General features: G+C 37.4%; 1 protein-coding gene across 7 annotated transcripts in view, besides 1 other annotated feature; it reads left to right on the forward strand.

Annotated features, from left to right (window-relative positions):
• Positions 1-17949, forward strand: part of ENPEP (glutamyl aminopeptidase) — an 89131-nt gene that overhangs the window by 14224 nt on the left and 56958 nt on the right. For 4 of the 7 annotated variants that reach the window (NM_001977.4, NM_001379613.1, NM_001379611.1 and 1 more), the window contains exons 3-4: positions 655-786; positions 16259-16379. In NM_001977.4, coding sequence (NP_001968.3) covers positions 655-786; positions 16259-16379 — 253 coding nt within the window. Of the gene's footprint in view, positions 1-654; positions 787-9650; positions 9786-16258; positions 16380-17949 lie in introns of those variants that run through there. The other 3 variants (NR_166842.1, NR_166844.1, XM_017007877.2) reach the window with 3 other exon arrangements.
• Positions 17133-17302: an enhancer, noted in NCBI's record as "experimental_72001 CRE fragment used in MPRA reporter constructs". NCBI's record gives its function as "activates a minimal promoter by MPRAs in K562 erythroleukemia cells, with activity observed for both the introgressed and non-introgressed 4:111428752 variant alleles {active_cell/tissue: K562}" and the evidence as "EXISTENCE:reporter gene assay evidence [ECO:0000049][PMID:34662402]".

A 17949-nucleotide genomic window follows, 5' to 3' on the forward strand; every position in this document is an offset into this window, starting at 1 on the left:
AGGAGATGTGGAAATGTTTAATAATGGAAGCAGGAGTTGGGCAAGTATTCGTGGTTGAAGTGTTAGGATTGGTGATCGACAGTGAGGACAGCAGAGCTGGCATGGACAGAACAAGCCAGATAGGTCAGTAGTTGTGTCAAGCAATAGAATCCTCCTCTCTGTCCATGGAGACCGAGCCACTGACTTTGGTGACCATACCTTTGGTGTTTGATGTAGACAACCAAAGACGGAAAAGAGAAGCCAATGTTCCGCTACACCAGGTACAGCAATTGCCCTACTGCCAGTCGAATCAGCAAATATCTGAGCACGAGTCTGTTTTTCATTAGGAGATTGCAGTACTCTGAAATATTATGGTCAGCATGATGTGTTTAGTGTAGACAGATAAACTCCTATTTAACTGATAGTCCACTCAAAATTTTATTTCTCCCTGAAAAACCTGATACAGTGTGTAATTCAGTCAGTCTTTAACAGTTCTAAAAACAAAGTAAATTTTCCTGTAGTCTTTTCAACATCACCACAAACAATTTGACCTCTAAGCTTTGACAAAGGACTTCTGGCTAGAAAGCAAGGTTTGGGGCAACCGTTTATTTGTTTGTCTTGCATATATATGATTGATATTTTGATCGATAAAAGTTTATCTTTTCTTTTCAATAGAAAGAAGAGTCAGTGGATGATAAATGGACTCGAACAACTTTTGAGAAGTCTGTCCCCATGAGCACGTACCTGGTGTGCTTTGCTGTACATCAATTTGACTCTGTAAAGAGAATATCAAATAGTGGAAAACCTGTGAGTCTCATTATATTTTAAAAATTTACCACCTATGCATTTGTAATTAATTATCTACCTTTTTTGGGTAGTTTTTTTTTTTTTTTTTCAAACAACATGCCTGAAAAGCCCTTTAGTCCCCAGGGTCTGTGGACTTGATAATACATAGAAAAATGTAGGCTGAAAGGATACAGGTAAAAAATAAACCAACACAACAGACATAGATATTTATGGCCTTAAATTATTTCAAGGGAAACATGTGCTGTAAGTCAAAAGCTAGCTCCTAAGTATACCAGCACAAATATATTAAAATGTTTGGGTATGCCCAATGTAATAAAATGTTTGGGTATATGTGTACCTCTCCCAGATATAGACTAGAGAGAGAGGAGGAAACCTGAGGTAAAGGAACATCCTTCGAATGACAAGGCACTGAAAAGTTTATGGCTCCATTCCTATATGTAATCAAAATAGGTAGCAACAAAGTATCCAAAAGCATTTTTTAAAAGTATGATAAAATATAAATAAGCTTTTTTTAAAAATATCAAGACGACTAGTTCAATAGTTTTCTTTCTTTCTTTTTTTTTTTTTTTTTTTTGAGACGGAGTCTGGCTCTGTCACCCAGGCTAGGGTGCAGTGACACGATCTCAGCTCACTGCAACCTCCACCTCCCGGGTTCAAGTGATTCTCTTGCCTCAGCCTCCTGAGTAGCTGGGACTACAGGCACCCGCCACCACGCCTGGCTAATTTTTGTATTTTTAGTAGAGACGGGGTTTCACCATATTGGCCAGCCTTGTCTCTAACTCCTGACCTCAGGTGACCCACTGGCCTTGGCCCCCTGAAGTGCTGGGATTACAGGCATGAGCCACCGAGCCTGGCCCAATCGTTTTCTTTTGAAGAACCACATACTTTTACCTAATTAATTTTTTCATTTTGGAGGCCCCCATTTTGCTTATATCCTGAACATATGTTTAGGTTGTCTAGTAAGCCAGTTAATTCACCTCTGTGCCATATATGTCATATATATAAAGCCTCATCATCTTTGCAATATAATTTTATAAGGAGGAAATCATCACCCCCATTTTAGAGATGAGAAAAATTGAAGTTTAATAAATTTAGGCTATTTATTCAAGATTACCCAGCTGGCAAGTGGTAGAAACTTAAATTCCAAACTCCTTCCAGATACTGTATCTTGCTTAGCCTTCTGATGTGTGATATTCTGAAAATATCTTTACCTCTTCATCAGTCACTGGAGGAGAGGGGATGGGTTCCTCTATTTCTGTGAAATGAACAAAGGGAAAATTTGCCTTTGCTTTGGTGTGGTAGGAGTTGATATTCAGATGTCCTCAACCTGGGTTGCCAGCATGCTGCCTATACCGTATACAAATTATAGCGAGTGGGGGATGTCCACAGACCTTTTCAAAGGGGCTGCATATCATGAGGACTCATCCGTATTCTAACTTTTCCTTGACACATAGGTTGCTTTGATGCAACCTTCAGTCGTGGTAAAGGGAACTACTAGTGGCTGATAGATAATACTGGTATGAAAAGGAAATGGCATCAGAAATAGGAAGTTGTTTTTTCTAGATTGTGCTGAGTGCAGTCGATGGCATTCCTCTTGCTTAATATAGAGGTGAGAACATTAGTCAAGCTTGGTTTTTTCTTTCCGTCTCATAACAAACATGCAATTTTCATCTGAAGCTGCTTTCTTCATCATTGACAATTCAATTGCATGACTGTCTTTCATCATGTGCAGGTGTTTCCCATACCAAGTTTTAAAAATTATTATTACATTCTGAGCAAATTTTTCTATTTGAGGTAGAAATACCAAGAGGAAACAGAAAGGCTAAGCAATTGTACTAAAGATGACAAAGTCTCATAGGTAAGAACAATGCATTTAACCAATCAGCAGAGGACATAGTACTTGGAGTTATTTTCTAATAGTGACAGTGAGCTTGAATTTCCAATATGACTCTATCACCAGGTCCTCTGACCAAGGACATTTACTTGTAATATTATACTAACTAGGTAAATCACTAGAGCCTGTACCAGTTAGTTAGCTGGGTTCTTAGGATGGATTTTATATAAAGGATTTGAAGTGATATAATGAAAAAATACAGTTTTGCAAAAGATCCCAAAATGTCCTGTAGGTGGTAATTATTTCTTAAATGGTTCTTCTATGAAAACTAAGAGCATAACATTTTGTTTTAAATAAGTGATGCATTCCATCATTTGGGAGGGAAACAAACATAATATTGTTTTAATACATTACTGTCCAATCATCTATTTTATAAGAGATCAACAGAAGCCAAATTCCCTTTTGAAACTTCTCAGAGGCTCTGAGCCAGAAAAATTACAAGAAAATGAGATATGCCACTTTCCCCTTCCTCCAACCCTTCCATAGAAGACAGGCAGCCAGAGTTTCCCCTCCTGAAAAAACAGTGGGGCCGTTTCCTTTAAAAGTTGAACAGAACCTAATGGGAGAAATTTAAGGCATCTAGTGTGAATGCAAATGCTCCACAGTGAGTTCCTCCTCTTTGGCATTTGGGAGGTTCCCCTCCTGGCTCCCTACCCACTTACTGTAAGTTGAAATCTAATAGTTGACACCCACCCAAGTACAAACTGCTCCTGGTATGATTTCCCACTCCAGAGAGTTACAGAAAAACCAACCTACTTAAATCTATTGAAATGTAACATCAGAGGAAACTCACACCAGCCTCAGAGTCCTACATTCTTAGAACTTAACAGACAAGCTAAGAATAACCAGGTATATGAGGAAAACAAGTAACATAAAAGAAAAACATCCAAGACAAATAGAAACACCGTGGGAGTAAATAGTGATAACTGGAGAAACAAAAGAGAATCCCGAAAAAGTCATAACAAAATTAAACATGCACACACACAACCTTTAATTAATGTATTCAAAAATTCAAGAATATGATAGTCATAAAAGAAAAACCAAAAAGTGACGAGAAAACGATCAGAAATAGTAGTCAGAGTTTTAGAACGTGATTTCCAAAGCATGGCTTGGGTCTGATCCCCAGGAACCTGTTTCCGACCCATTCCTTCCAAAACTGGAGCTCAATATGCTTATAGCTTCCGATCCTTATGTCTTGTTCCCATTTTTATATTTTATCACTAATTTCTGAGTATTAGGATTAGTGGGGTGCATCAAAGCATCCCTTTACTGTACCACCTGTACCCAAAGTCCTTTATTACTTTTTTAGTAAAAAACAAAAATAAAAAATGAAGCCATGTATTTGTTATGTACACCATTAATAGGTGACTATTCTTATCCATTCTTCTTCTGACAGTATTATTCTGGTACATTAACCACCTGCTATTCATAATCAGATTATACTATGCAATCTAAGAATCTATAATGCCCTGATTCAACTTGCTTGGGTATATTCACCTCTCTGACAATAGTTCCTTTATATCAATAAACACAGAATCAATGCCTGCATTCTTAATAGTTTAGTTGGAGAGAGTACAGCAGACTTTAGAGTTGAGCCATTCATTATGTTTAAAATATCCTTGTCGCTCATGAGAAAAATTAAATTGGTTTTGGAGGTAGCTCAGAAGTCTTTTCACTCTTCATATTTTCTTTTTAAATTAATTGCATTGCATTTTGATTCAATGCTAAACAGAGTAACATGAAGAGTTACTTAGAATAGTTTAGCAACAATTGAAGCCAGCCACTGATGGAAGGAATTTTTTACAATTCTGCAAGAAATCTACTCCTGAGGTCTTCTTCAGGTTTAGTTGATTGATTAGGGTTTTAAAGTAAATGAAATCACTGAATTTCACCCCAGAAAAACAAACAAGTGGACACACCCTGAACTGTGCATAGTATAGAGAGATTATATGACTTTTTAGTTATGTGAACAAACTGTTGAGTTATTGTTTAAAAAAAATGTAATCCTATTGTTCCTGCAGGAGTCATCAGAGAGGAAACAATATCCCCAATAAGCATGTCATGAACATGAGAGTTCAGCACAAAGTTCCCCATTGGAATTTATTGCAATTCATTTTCAAACCAAGAACAATGTACATTATAAATATATTTTTGAGTTTTTAAAATTATAGGTTTAATTCATGTACATTATTGAAAATTTGGAAAACGCAAAGTAGGAAAAAGGAAAATCCCCCGTATTAGTATATATAAAATCATTTGAAGTTGTTAGGTTTGTGTTGCTTTCTGAGGTACAGTTGACCTACAGTAACTTTCCCAGAATGCTTTCGCTCTGCATGATTCTTTAAGGAATCAAATTCAGGACGAGTTAAATGGCAATGGTGGCCGGGCGCGGTGGCTCATGCCTATAATCCCAGCACTTTGGGAGGCTGAGGTGTGCAGATTACTTGAGGTCAGGAGTTTGAGAACAGCCTGGCCAAAATGGTGAAACCCTGTCTCTACTAAAAATACAAAAATCAGCCGGGCGTGATGGTGTGTGCCTGTAATCCCAGCTACTCGGGAGGCTCAGGCAGGAGAATCGCTTGAACCCAGGAGGCAGAGGTTGCGGTGAGCCGAGATGGTGCCACTGCACTCCAGCCTGGGTGACAGAGCAAGACTCGGTCTCAAAAGTATACATAAATAAATAAGTAAATAAATAATAAATGGCACGAGTGATTTCGTTCCTGAGAAACAAAAATCTCAGGAGCCCTTGAATTTCTTTGGGGGCATTTGGCATCTGTATTTTATAAAGAAGTATGTGCAAAAACAAGAAATTACCTTGTTGGAGATTATTTCAACTCTAGTCAAGTTTTCCTTGGCTTTCCTGAACAGAGGGGGAAGCTGGGAGGAATTATTCACTAAGGGAATGCTGGTGGAAGATATTATCCATTTAATTAGGTTTGTACTATGACCATATTAATTCTAATATATCAGTAGAAGGGATTATGTTGTACTTTCTTCCAAAAATCTTACAGGATGATCGCTGAATAATTGCATCTAGGATTCTCTCTGTGAATGGGTTCTTCCTACTGTCTGTGTCTTCTTACTTGCTTCCATCTTAGTCCGTTGTTTGCCTGGATTAGAAAGATAGGCTGAAGGCAGAGTATGTATGTATATATGCCATGGATTTTTAAAAACAGCCTATCTTTATAACAGTTTTAGGTTTTGTGCCATAGACTTTGATTTATGTATTTCTCTTCATAGAAATAATCTTATTTTTTAAGTTTCATTGCTTTAATGCTCAGAGATATATTTTTAAACTTCTTATTTTGAAATAATTTTAGATTTACAGAGAGTTGCAAAGACACAAGAGTCTCCATGTAACCTTCCCTTAATGTTAATATCTTATATAACCATTTATCAAACATTCGTCAAATCTAAGAAATCAATGTAATACAATACTATTAACTAAACAACAGTCTTTACTTGGATTTCACCAGTTTTTTCACTAATGTGCCTTTTCTATTCCAAAATCCAATAGATGATACATCTACATTATACTTAGCAATGCTGTCTCCTTAATTCATTCTGATATATGACATTTCTCAGTTTTTTTCTTTTTTATGATCCTGACACTTTTTAAGAGTACTGTTCAGGTATTTCGTAGAAAGTTTCTCAGTTTGGGTTTGTGTGATGTTTCCTCAAGATTAGACTGAGGCTTTGGATTTTGGAGAATACCACAGAGGTGAAGGGTCCTTTTCATCACATCCTATCAGGGGGTACATGACATCCTCATGACTTATTCCTGGTGATGCTAACTTTGATCACTTGGTTGAGATGGTGTCTGCTAGGTTTCTCTGCTTCAGTTTACTAGTTTTTTATTCCAATCTTCTGTTTTTTAGAAGCAATCGCTAAATGCAGTCCACACCCAAGGGGAAGAGAGTTAAGCTCTACTTCCTGGAGGGAGGAGTCACAAAGAATTTATGGATATACATTATGACCACCACAGTGATTAATAAATATTTAGGGAGTGATAATTAAAGGCTATGTGAATATCCTGTTAGTTCTTCAGGTTTTGACCACTTATTGTAGCATTCCCCAGTGGATGTCCACAACAACTGTTATTGTGGTGTTCTAAAGGTGATTTTTCTGTTTTCCTCAGAATTATTTTTGACATATGGTCATTTCATTATTTTAAAAACTTATTTTGGCTGTGGCTTTGCTAAGTTTTCAGAATGAATTTGATTTCTAGAACATTTTAATTAGTTTTTTTTAATTAATTTCTTTACTGGAAGGGTTATCTTTAAATGGAAGGTTATTAATCTCCCTTGAAGGAAACTGTTTAATTTAGTAAGCCACGGAGGATTGCTAATGATTCTTATTTTTTATTTAAATTTACAAAAATATAAACAAAATAATAAAAATAATGTAAGATTTTATGGGGTAATTTAGATTTTTTAATGTTCATTTTTTAATTTCTTAAAAATTATACTGCAGTAATAATCACTAAGCATCAGACAACTTAAATTTTAACTTAAATGGAAAGTAAGTGGCCAATAAATGCTTTGTGTAACCTAATGGCCGTGCTGAGTTTCTTCTTAAACAGCAATTCATAGCAGGTGAGTTCCGACTCAGAGTCCGAACATGTTTTGAACCAGCATAGCTACAGCGGAAAAAAAGGTGTTTTTTCACCTAAACTTCAAACCAAGGTTTTGCATATTCATACTAATTTATCTATGAGGAAGGAGCAAACTAAAATTTAGAAAGAATATATCACATTGATAAGGCAGAACTTAAAAAGAAAAAAACTGATGTATCACTATTCCTTTCAACTAAGTACCCTCCTCTGCTAACTTTCCACCTACTACTGGAAGAATATTTAAAAGAACATAAACTTTATAAAATTTAACACATTAATGGCATGTTCAGTAATACCAGCTATGTACCTTAAATATGCATTTATATATTTAAAAACAATATAGATTTATTTTCTCTTTCTCATCCTGGCTACCTCAGTATTGATAATGAAACAGTTTCTTCAAACTGATTATTGTGTACATTTTTATTGAGCATCTACTATGTGCACTGGAGGATGCTAAACCCTGAAGAGAGTGAAATATGCTGATATCTGTACTTCAATTAAGATGTGCACCAGATACAGTCACCACTGCCCTGTGCCACCCAAGTGTGTTTTCAGGTCTTTCTTGGTGTTACTAGCCCTGAGTGCCAAGGATCTCAGCTTGTTTTTGGGGGATCCTTTAAGCATGCTCGTCATTTAAAATGATGTGGCTCTTTGGAACAGCTCAGATGAGACCTTGCAAAAAAAACCTCAAGAGGTAAATGGTGCTACTTCTGCGGGATGATCAGCAGTGAAAAGTCAGGCTGCTGTCAATAAGTAGAGTGACCATATAATTTATCATCTATAAATATATATATAATAAATAATAGAGGAGGTGTTATTAATTAAGCTGGAACAAGACGTATAAACAGGTAAGCAACAGATTTACATTCCAGGGACATTCCTGGGCAAACCTGAATGTATGGTCACCTCTATCAATAGAAAACACTCAATAGACAAGGACAATAAGGATGTGGATCCAGGGCACAGCGGGGCTGCGGCACTTTCCAGGTGGAATCATGCAGGGCCCTGCCTGGCTTCTGACCCAGGTGACGGTGGCAGTGGTAACGGGCAGTCTGTTTAAGCTGATTCTTTTCTGTTCCATGGTCTTTCCAAGTTCAAGGTTCTCATCTCAGTCCCCTCACACTCTTTCAGGGTCTGTTTCAGGTCTTGTCCCTTCAACCTTCCCTCACCTTCCCTGGCCCAGGTAAATTTTGTCTAGTTTTTTGAGACAGAGTAGCCTGGACATCTCTTTATTCTCTTTTCAATTATTATTAGAGTTAAAAACCCTGTGGTTTGCTTTTTTCCTGGCCTTCTGTTTTTATTGCTAAAAGTCTTTTGAAACCAGGCCCTTACAATCCAAAAAGTTTGGGCTTTTAAATGTGTTGTGTGGGCATCAAGAGCCTATTTTGAAAGTCAAAACCATAACATTTATTTTTTTCCCCTGCATTTTTCAATGTTCTTACTGGCAATGTGGACACCATAGTGTAAGTATCAATCACATATAAGGAAGTACGCACACAGAAAATTACAGAGGTTAATAATTCAGTGTATTATCTCTAATGATACTAACACTTTTGATGGGACACATAGAACTATTACATGTCAAACATTGCTTATGTGTTATTTAATACTCGAAATAACCCTATGACATAAGTGCTGTTGTTATATCTATTTTACAGCTGGGGAGGTCAAGATTCAGTCTTATAAGTAGAGAAAATAGGCAGCATGATATGTGAAAACAAACTTTGTCCTGAACTCTAGCGTCGGTCCTGTCTTAGACTTCATTTTTCTCATGTATACAATGAGGAAGTTTATTTTCAAATCACCTTCAAACTCTAAAATTATAAATAGAGGTCTACAATCCTTGTCCCAAACCCTCATGGCCAGTTGTATGTTGGAATTCAGAAATTTTCAGATTTGTGAAAGGTAATGTAGTTTGAATACTATATGTTAATGATTAACTACAGTGGGATTTGGGGCAATGTCTTATAATCAGTGATACTTCTGCAGCAATTTTTTATAGTGAGAAAAATAAAGATTTTTGAAAAACTCTTAACAGTTCAGGTCATATGATATTGCCAAATTAGTTTGCTTAAACATATAAAAAGTTTTAGAACTCATTGGATTTATTAGTGTGGATTAGGGGTTGTGGGAACTGGACCAGTGAACGGATTGGGGTAATTATCAGTGATGCAAAATATTTTTTCTATTATTATTAATAATTCTGGATTCATAGAATTGACGTGTGGAGTAAAAGAAATGTTGCATGGAAAATGCTTATCACATTCCTTGAAAAAATTTAAGTTCTCAATAATAAGACTAATAAGTAATCATAATACTATCGCTGAGCTTTGTGCTTGGTTTTGGTTGCAGGGACATAAATAATCATTGAAGATAAAGATGGTGCACAGCCTCATTAAATTGTTCAAGGAAGATTGATCTAATGCATCTAGTCATGATTGTCAAGTGAAGTCAAGTGTGGCAAAGGGACACGTAAAGGAAGTAATGGTAATCAACCAGGAATCGATTCTCATGGACTTAAGTTCTATCTCTCAAATGGTTTGAGACACTTGAATGAAAGGGATAACATTAAGAACTCTAAGAGCCTACATTACAGCAGGCTCCAATATGATAAGGGAAAAGCAAAAGCTATGTTAAAGCAGATATGTCTTACCTCCCAAAAGAATATCAGCTGAATAAGGCTGTATAAAGCCCAAAGTTTTTCCACTGATACTAGCTCCATAGATTCAGTGCTTTGAAAGACGACTAATGGTATCCAACAGTAGTATACCAGGTAATTTAATTTGCCTAGGGAAGTTACTGTCTTCAAAAAGTAAATATATGCATGAAAGTTAGGTTCTTGAAGACTTATAAACTTCATATTTATGTTTATATATAATGTTTACATATAAAGTGATAAAGTAGACATACGAACTTTATATTTAAACGTTAATAGGGTTCTTACATTTAAAAAGTCATATATGACTCTTTTAAAAGATAAAGAAGAAAGAAAATACATGTATGCATCCCTCCTCACTCCATGTTATTTCAGTATGGGTTGTCACACGCTTAAAAAATCATCTCAGTAAAGCAAGCACATAAACTAGAAAAATGTCAATTATTAAATAATGATGACGAGTCAGGGGTAATTGCCTGAACTTTATCATGTACAGAAGTGCTGAGGCTTAGCAGATGATAGGGGAGAGTCAGTCACCTCTGCCAAAGCCCAGAGAGAGGAGAAGGAGATGCAGATGGAGCATACATTAAAGGTGGGGTCAGAGAGCGGGAAAAGTGTGGTGAGGATGAGTGAAGGCATCAGCACAAGGGAGGATGCTTTCAAAATCACCAAATCCAAGCATCACAGATGTTCTGTTGTTACACGGATTACAGAAACCATGTTGGAGCTTTAAACGACAGAAAATGTTGGCATGTTGGTAGAGTCTTTAATATAAAAATGTTTGTGATATATGGTAGTTAAGACACAGTTATGCTTTGGCTTAATATGTTACAAAATTAATGGGCTGTAGCTATATATTCTCTGATTGTTTGGCTCTGTTGATCAAAGTAGCAGTTATAGAATAAAATCTATGACCTGATTTTTTTATGGTAACTTCTGTAAAATATTTCTTTTTTAAGCTTTTATTTTAGGTTCAGGGGTATATGTACGGGTTTGCTATATAGTAAATTGCATGTCATAGGGGTTTGGTGTACAGATTGTTTCACTTCTCAGGTAATAAGCATAGTGCCCGATAGGTGGTTTTCTCATTCTCACCCTCCTCCCTCTCTACTTTCAAGTAGGCCTTGATGTCTATTGCTTCCTTCTTGGGGTCCATGAGTACTCAATGTTTAGGTCCCACTTATAAGTGAGAAGATGTGGTATTTGGTTCTCTGCTGCTATGCTAGTTCTCTTAGGATAAAAGACTCCAGCTTTATCCATGATGCTGCAAAGGACATGATCTCATTCTTTTTTATGGCTGTGAAGTAGTCCATGCTGTATATATACCACATTTTATTTATCCAGTCTACTGTTGATGAAAATAAGTTGATTCCATCCACGTCTTTGCTACTGTGAATAGTGCTGTGATGAACGTATGGAGGCCTGTGTCTTTACGGCAGAACAGTTTATATTTCCTTGGGTATATATATCCTGTAATAAGATGGCTGGATCATTTGGTAATTCTGCTTTAGTTCTTTGAGAAATTGCCAAACTGCTTTCCACAATGGATAAACTAATTTGCATTCCCACCAACAGTGTATAAGTGTTCCTTTTTCTCTACAAGTTTGCCAGCATGTTATTTTTTGACCTTTTAATAATAGCCATTCTGACTGGGTGAGATAGTATCTCATTGTGGTTTTGATTTGCAGTTCTCTAATGATTAGTCATGTTGAGCATTTTTTCATATGCTTGTGGGCCATATGTGAAAAGTGTCTTTTGAAAAGTGTCTGTTCACATCCTTTGCCCATTGTTTAATAGGGTTGTTTGTTTTTGCTTGCTGATTTAAGTTCTTTACAGATTCTGGATATTTTACCTTAGTTGGATGCATAGTTTGCAAATATTTTCTCTCATTCTGTATGTTGTCTGTTTACTCTATTGATAGTTCCTTTTGCTGTGCAGAAGCTCTTTAGTTTAAGTCCATTTGCCTACTTATGGTTTTGTTGCAGTTTCTTTTGGCATCTTTGTCATGAAATCTTTGCCAGGTCCTATGTCTGGAATGGTATTTCCTAGGTTATCTTCCAGGGTTTTTATAGTTTTAGGTTTTACACTTTTTAACCTGTCTTGAGTTGACTTTTGTATATGGTGTAAGGAAGGGGTCCAGTTTCAATCTTCTGCATACGGCTAGTCAGTTATCCCAGCATCATTTATTGAATAGAGAGTCTTATCCCTATTGCTTCTTTCTGTCAACTTTGTTGAAGATCAGATGGTTGCAGGTGTATGGCATTATTTCTGGGCTCTCTATTCTGTGTCATTGGTCTGTGTGTCTATTTTTGTCTTAGTACCATGCTGTTTTGGTTACTATAGGCTTGTAGTATAGTTTAAAGTCAGGTAATGTGATTCCTCCAGCTTTTTCTTTTTGCTTAAAATTACCTTGGCAATTATATTTTTGGTGCCATATAAATTTTAAAATAGTTTTTTTCTAATTCTGTCAAAACTATCACTGGTTGTTTGATAGGAACACCACTGAATCTGTGAATTGCTTTGGGCAGTATGGCCATTTTAACAATATTGATTCTTCTTATTCGATGTTTTCTTTTTTTTTAATTATTATACTTTAAGTTCTAGGGTGCATGTACACAACGTGCAGGTTTGTTACATATGTATACATGTGCCATGTTGGTGTGCTGCACCCATTAACTCGTCATTTACATTAGGTATATCTCCTAATGCTATCCCTCCCCGCTCCCCCCACCCCACGACAGGCCCTGGTGTGTGATGTTCTCCTTCCTGTGTCCAAGTGTTCTCATTGTTCAATTCCCACCTATGAGTGAGAATATGCAGTGTTTGGTTTTTTGTCCTTGTGACAGTTTGCTGAGAATGATGGTTTCCAGCTTCATCCATGTCCCTACAAAGGACATGAACTGGATGTTTTCTTTATTTTTGTCGGACTGAGTTAGTTTGGGGAGCCAGTTTTTGAGCTCTGAGATTCTTTCTTCAGCTTGGCCTATTCTGCTGTTAATAATTGTGATTTCATTATGAAATTCCTGTAGTGTGTTTTTTTTAGCTCTGTCAGGTCATTTTGGTTCTTTCTTATAACGGTTATTTTGTCTTTCAGTTCCTGTACTGTTATATTGTAATCCTTAGTTTCCTTGGATTGGTTTCAACTTTCTCAATGGTTCTCAATGGAATCTCAATGATCTTCCTTCCTATCCATATTCTGAATTCTATTGCTATCATTTCAGTCGTTTCAGTCTGGTTAAGAACCCTTGCTGTGGAACTAGTGTGGTTCTTTGGAGGAACCAAGGCAGTCTGGCTTTTTGAGCTGCCAGAGATCCTGCACTAGTTCTTTCTCATCTGTGTGGGCTGACTTTCCCTCAACTGTGGTGGCTGATGTTCCCTCAACTGTGCTGTAATTTGAGTACAGTCAGTTGATTTCTTTCCTGGATGTTTTCAGAGGACGAAGTGTTTGTGCTGGGTCATTATTTGCGCTGAATTCATGTCCTTTGTTTCTCAGGGGCGTTATGTTAGCAAAGTATTTTTGGTGCTGAAGTTTGGGCTATGATCCAGTAGATGGTGCTTAAGCATAATGGCCAGTAGTTAGGCTCTTGCTCAGCCACAAGGCTCCTCTGTGTTTCCTCCTAATTGCAGCTGTGCTCTCTCTCAGTGCTCTGAAACTGCCTGCTCCTCTCCAACTCAAGTACTGGCTGCAGATCTCAGCTTGGCACTCCTGGGCTGCTCACCACAGCCTTGGAGCAAGCTCAGGCTTTATGCTCCTTCTGCAGCCTGGAGGCAGCAGGGGAAGGGACCTTGGCAGTTGCTGTAGCAGAGGGCTTTTCACCGGTCTTTTGGAACTCCACCCCAGAGAAATGCAGAGCCACTACCAATTGGTGCAATCAGCCCGGGGTCAGGTGGTTGTATTGTGGGCCCAAGCCAAGGGCCTGCCTGGTGATGAGCAGGGGTAACAGGGGGTTGTGGCTGGGACAAACTGGCTTCTTTTCCTTAGGGTGGCTGCAGCTTACTGGAGATATGATTAAAGCACTCAGGGTCTTTGATCCATACCTAGTCCAAGGGCAGCAAGGGCAGTACCATTGCAGCAGCCATGGCAGAGGGGCTTTCAGTTGCCTCTGGGAGATCCACCTTAGAGAAATGCAGAGCTGCTGCTACTGGGAATGTTCAGCCAGGGGATGGGGCCACTGCACTGCTGGCCTGAGCTGAGGTCCCTGCTTGGTGAAGAGCTGACCCTGATTATGAAGGGTCATAGATCACAGATGATCTGCAGACTGACCAGGCTGCAAAGACAGAGCATATTTCTATGGACTTGAGTTTCTCAGAAACAAAAGAGGAAGGGACTGCTTTTATTTTGATTGAATTTACATTAACATCAATCTTCTTTAAACACTGCCTTCCACTGTCACCAACAGAAATACAAAAAAAGAAAAATGAATTACATTGTCTCAGAAGCATACTGCTTAAAGGGAGTTCATTTACTGACATGGGAAATGAGAAAATATTAGTGGAAAGAACACATTGAGTCTGTCTCCTTCCCATTGCTCCACCTACGGTGGGAGACCTCACCATGATCTTTCAACTTCTTTTACAATTCTCTTTCGCTCACCAAATGTTGTGTGCAGCACCAAAGCACTGAATATGTAGACAACAGTGGAGCGGGTCAAGAGGACTGCCCTTCCTGAAGTTTTTAATGCAGAGAACAGATGTGATAGAAAATCTGAGAGTTTTGACACACCAATTAGTTCACAGAAGAAAAATTCTGAGACTCTTGGTTTATGACATGGCAATCCTGTACGAACGTGATGACTTTTATTTTAGACGGTTAATTCCCTTTACTCTGTTCAATGGCCAAAAACTGGAGCCTTAGTTTCACTCAACTTCTTGGAAAAATACCTGTCATTGTTCACAAAGAGGACAGGAGGGTAATCCAAACAGTTTCACTTTTTGATTGCTTAACAACTATTAGAGAAAATGTATCATCACTTCTGTAAGAAAAAAAAAAAACTTCTAAGAGTATTGAGATGATTGAGTGAGTTGTGCCGTCTTCGGAGGTGAAGACGAACACATCTTTATTTATGCAAATAAAGCAAGAATGCCAGTTACCTAGTGGATGTGAGAATAGTGAGCCAGCACTGGTAATTTAAGGGATGCTCTTTCAGAATGTGTTCTTTATATTCGTGAATCATTCCAGTGTTCTTTGCTTCTAGGAAAAGGTGGTTCAAGATGTGTGCCTAAGTGAATACCAAAACTAGCAACGCATTGGGAATAATAAAGAGAGTGGGCAATATTTTCTTTTTTTCTTGTTTAAATCCTGAGTCAGCTGTTCTAATTAGGTAAATGGTCTTGAACTTACTAAATGATTACATCTTTTGCTTTCCTTGAGGGTTTTGAATCAGGTTGTAGGCTTAGCAGGTATATTTTATTTGAATTTCTCACAAACTTTTAGCAGACACTAGTTGTCTGAGGTACTGCTTCCTCTTTCAGATATTGAGAAATGCCTAAACACCTGTAATATTCTTTTCCAGAGACCACATCTACTTTCACGACACTATGTTGAAGAGGATTCTTGAAAATTTTTTATAAAGTCAGACATGCTTAGAATTGGGGACAAAAATCTGTACTTGGTTTGATTTATAAATTATGTCATAAGGACACAAAGTAGTGACTTAGAGAATTGATGTAGCTTACCAAGATGACTTTCTCTCAGGGAAAGTTTGGATCATTATATTTTAGGTTCTGGAGCTGAATAGTTGGAATATCAAAAGGGTTATTTCGAAATAACTAGATAGAAAAGCACAAGTAGATAACACGTATTCAGGGGCTCTTTGCATGAGAAAAATCCCATTAATTCAATTCCTCTAGGACAAATGACACAGAGAGAAAGAGACAGAGACAGAGAAAGAGAAAGAGAAAGAGCGCGCAAGAGAGAAATTGATAGGTGGGTATATGGATGGATGAATAGATAAATTCATAGATTTTAAGAAGATAATATATGTTCTAAGTAGAAAAAATTAATAACATTTTTCAAATGTCTGGGACATCATGCCAACCATTGTGTCTTACATTATTTCTAGTCATTAAAATCACTTAGTGAGTTGTGAAGTTTTATTAACATTTTACATAAAATTCCTCCAGAGTCTCAGAGATGTGAAGTGATTTATGAGACAACACGCTAGTATGAGGCAGAATTGGAATTCAAATTAGACATATCTGGCTCCAAAGCCCACTTTCTTTCAAGTATGTTATGCATCACAGTTTTTGTATTTTGTTGAATGAAGAATAATTTTCACTGAATTTTTTGTGTTTTGTTTAATAGCTTACAATTTATGTCCAGCCAGAGCAAAAGCACACAGCCGAATATGCTGCAAACATAACTAAAAGTGTGTTTGATTATTTTGAAGAATACTTTGCTATGAATTATTCTCTTCCTAAATTAGGTGAGGATCATTTTTTAATTTTCTTATTTTTAATATTGCCTTTGTTTTTATCTAAGTTAACTCATTTCTTCTAATTATGTCACCATCAGTTAACAGTTATCCTTAAGTCCTTTTATTCTATGCCGACAATATCTTGGGCTCAAGTAAGCCTCCTGCCTCGGCCTCCCAAAATGCTAGGATTACAGGCCTAATCAACCATGCCCAGCCTGTACTGTGTTCTTATCTGATGAATATATAATCTTGTGTTTCCAAATAAAGATGAAAGTATGTGCACAAAATGGCAGAGCTTGGTAGTGATGGAGCCACAAATAGCAACGTAGATCAGTTGATTTCAAAATCGGCATTCATCCCAATACTTGCTCTGCCTCCCTGTCATCAGCGAGTTAAAAAATAATAGGGATAAATGATGTTGTAAGAGCCCCATGTGCTTCCAGTCTTTCCATTGTTGTACAAGGCAAATTCTAGATTCCCCAGCAGTTTAATGAAATACTGGTGCTCCTTCCAGCAATAATTTTTTCTAATACAGAGGGAGACATGCATTCTTCATAAAGCAAAAGTGGGGCTACAACCAAAATGGTGTGCATATGACATTTCTATCAATAGTGGAAATGCTTTATTAATAAGCTCGAGAGCTATTAACAAAGACTTTAAATATAACACCCATATAGATGTTTGTAGGGATGAAATGAAGGCAGTAAGAAAACAAATTAGCCAACAGTTGGCCTCCCTGTATCTGTTTCTGCCTTTACTTTAATAACTTATCAATGCACACAAGGGGAATGCAAAATTCTCTGCATGGGAATGGCTGTGGCTCAGAGCAAGCTTGTAGATGCTGCATGTCTCTTCAATGGATACAATTCTATTTTTTGATTGCTTAACAAATGTTAGAGAAGGAGCTGGAAAAAGAAACAAGTTTTCATCAAAATCAGAATATTGGGCCAGGTGCAGTGGCTCACGCCTGTAATCCCAACATTTTGGGAGGCCCAGGCGGGCGGATCGCTTGAGCCCAGAGGTTCAAGACCAGCCTGGCAACATGGTGAAACCCCATCGCTACAAGAAATACAAAAATTAGCCAGGTGTTGTGGCACACACCTGTAGTCTCAGCTACTCAGGAGGCTGAGGTGGGAGGATCACTTGAGCCCAGGAGGTTGAGGCTGCAGTGAGCCATGATTGTGTCACTGCAGTCTAGGTGACAGAAGACCTCATCTCAATTTAAAAATATCAGAATAATATTTAATAAAATATTGTACACATGAATTTAAAGATCCTTTGCCTTTTATCTCAGTTGTAGCACCCAGGATAACCTGAGAAGTGGAAATCTCACAAATTTATTACTCTCTTCTCCTCTCTTTCTTTCTCCCTCTCCCCAACTCCTTTATTCTGTTTTATGTGCATTTTCAACCCTCTCAGAATTAATTATATCTTAGACTCCTTAGAGGTGACTTCTGCATTTATTAGACTCCAAAGAGTTAAATATACAAGAATTAGTTAGTTACAATGCCAGTACTGACCAAAAAAAAAAAAAAAAAAATGAGATTGCAAAAAATTCCTTTTGTTCAAGGATTAAGTG

Source organism: Homo sapiens, chromosome 4 (genome assembly GCF_000001405.40).
Source record: "Homo sapiens chromosome 4, GRCh38.p14 Primary Assembly".
Taxonomy (NCBI): domain Eukaryota; kingdom Metazoa; phylum Chordata; class Mammalia; order Primates; family Hominidae; genus Homo; species Homo sapiens.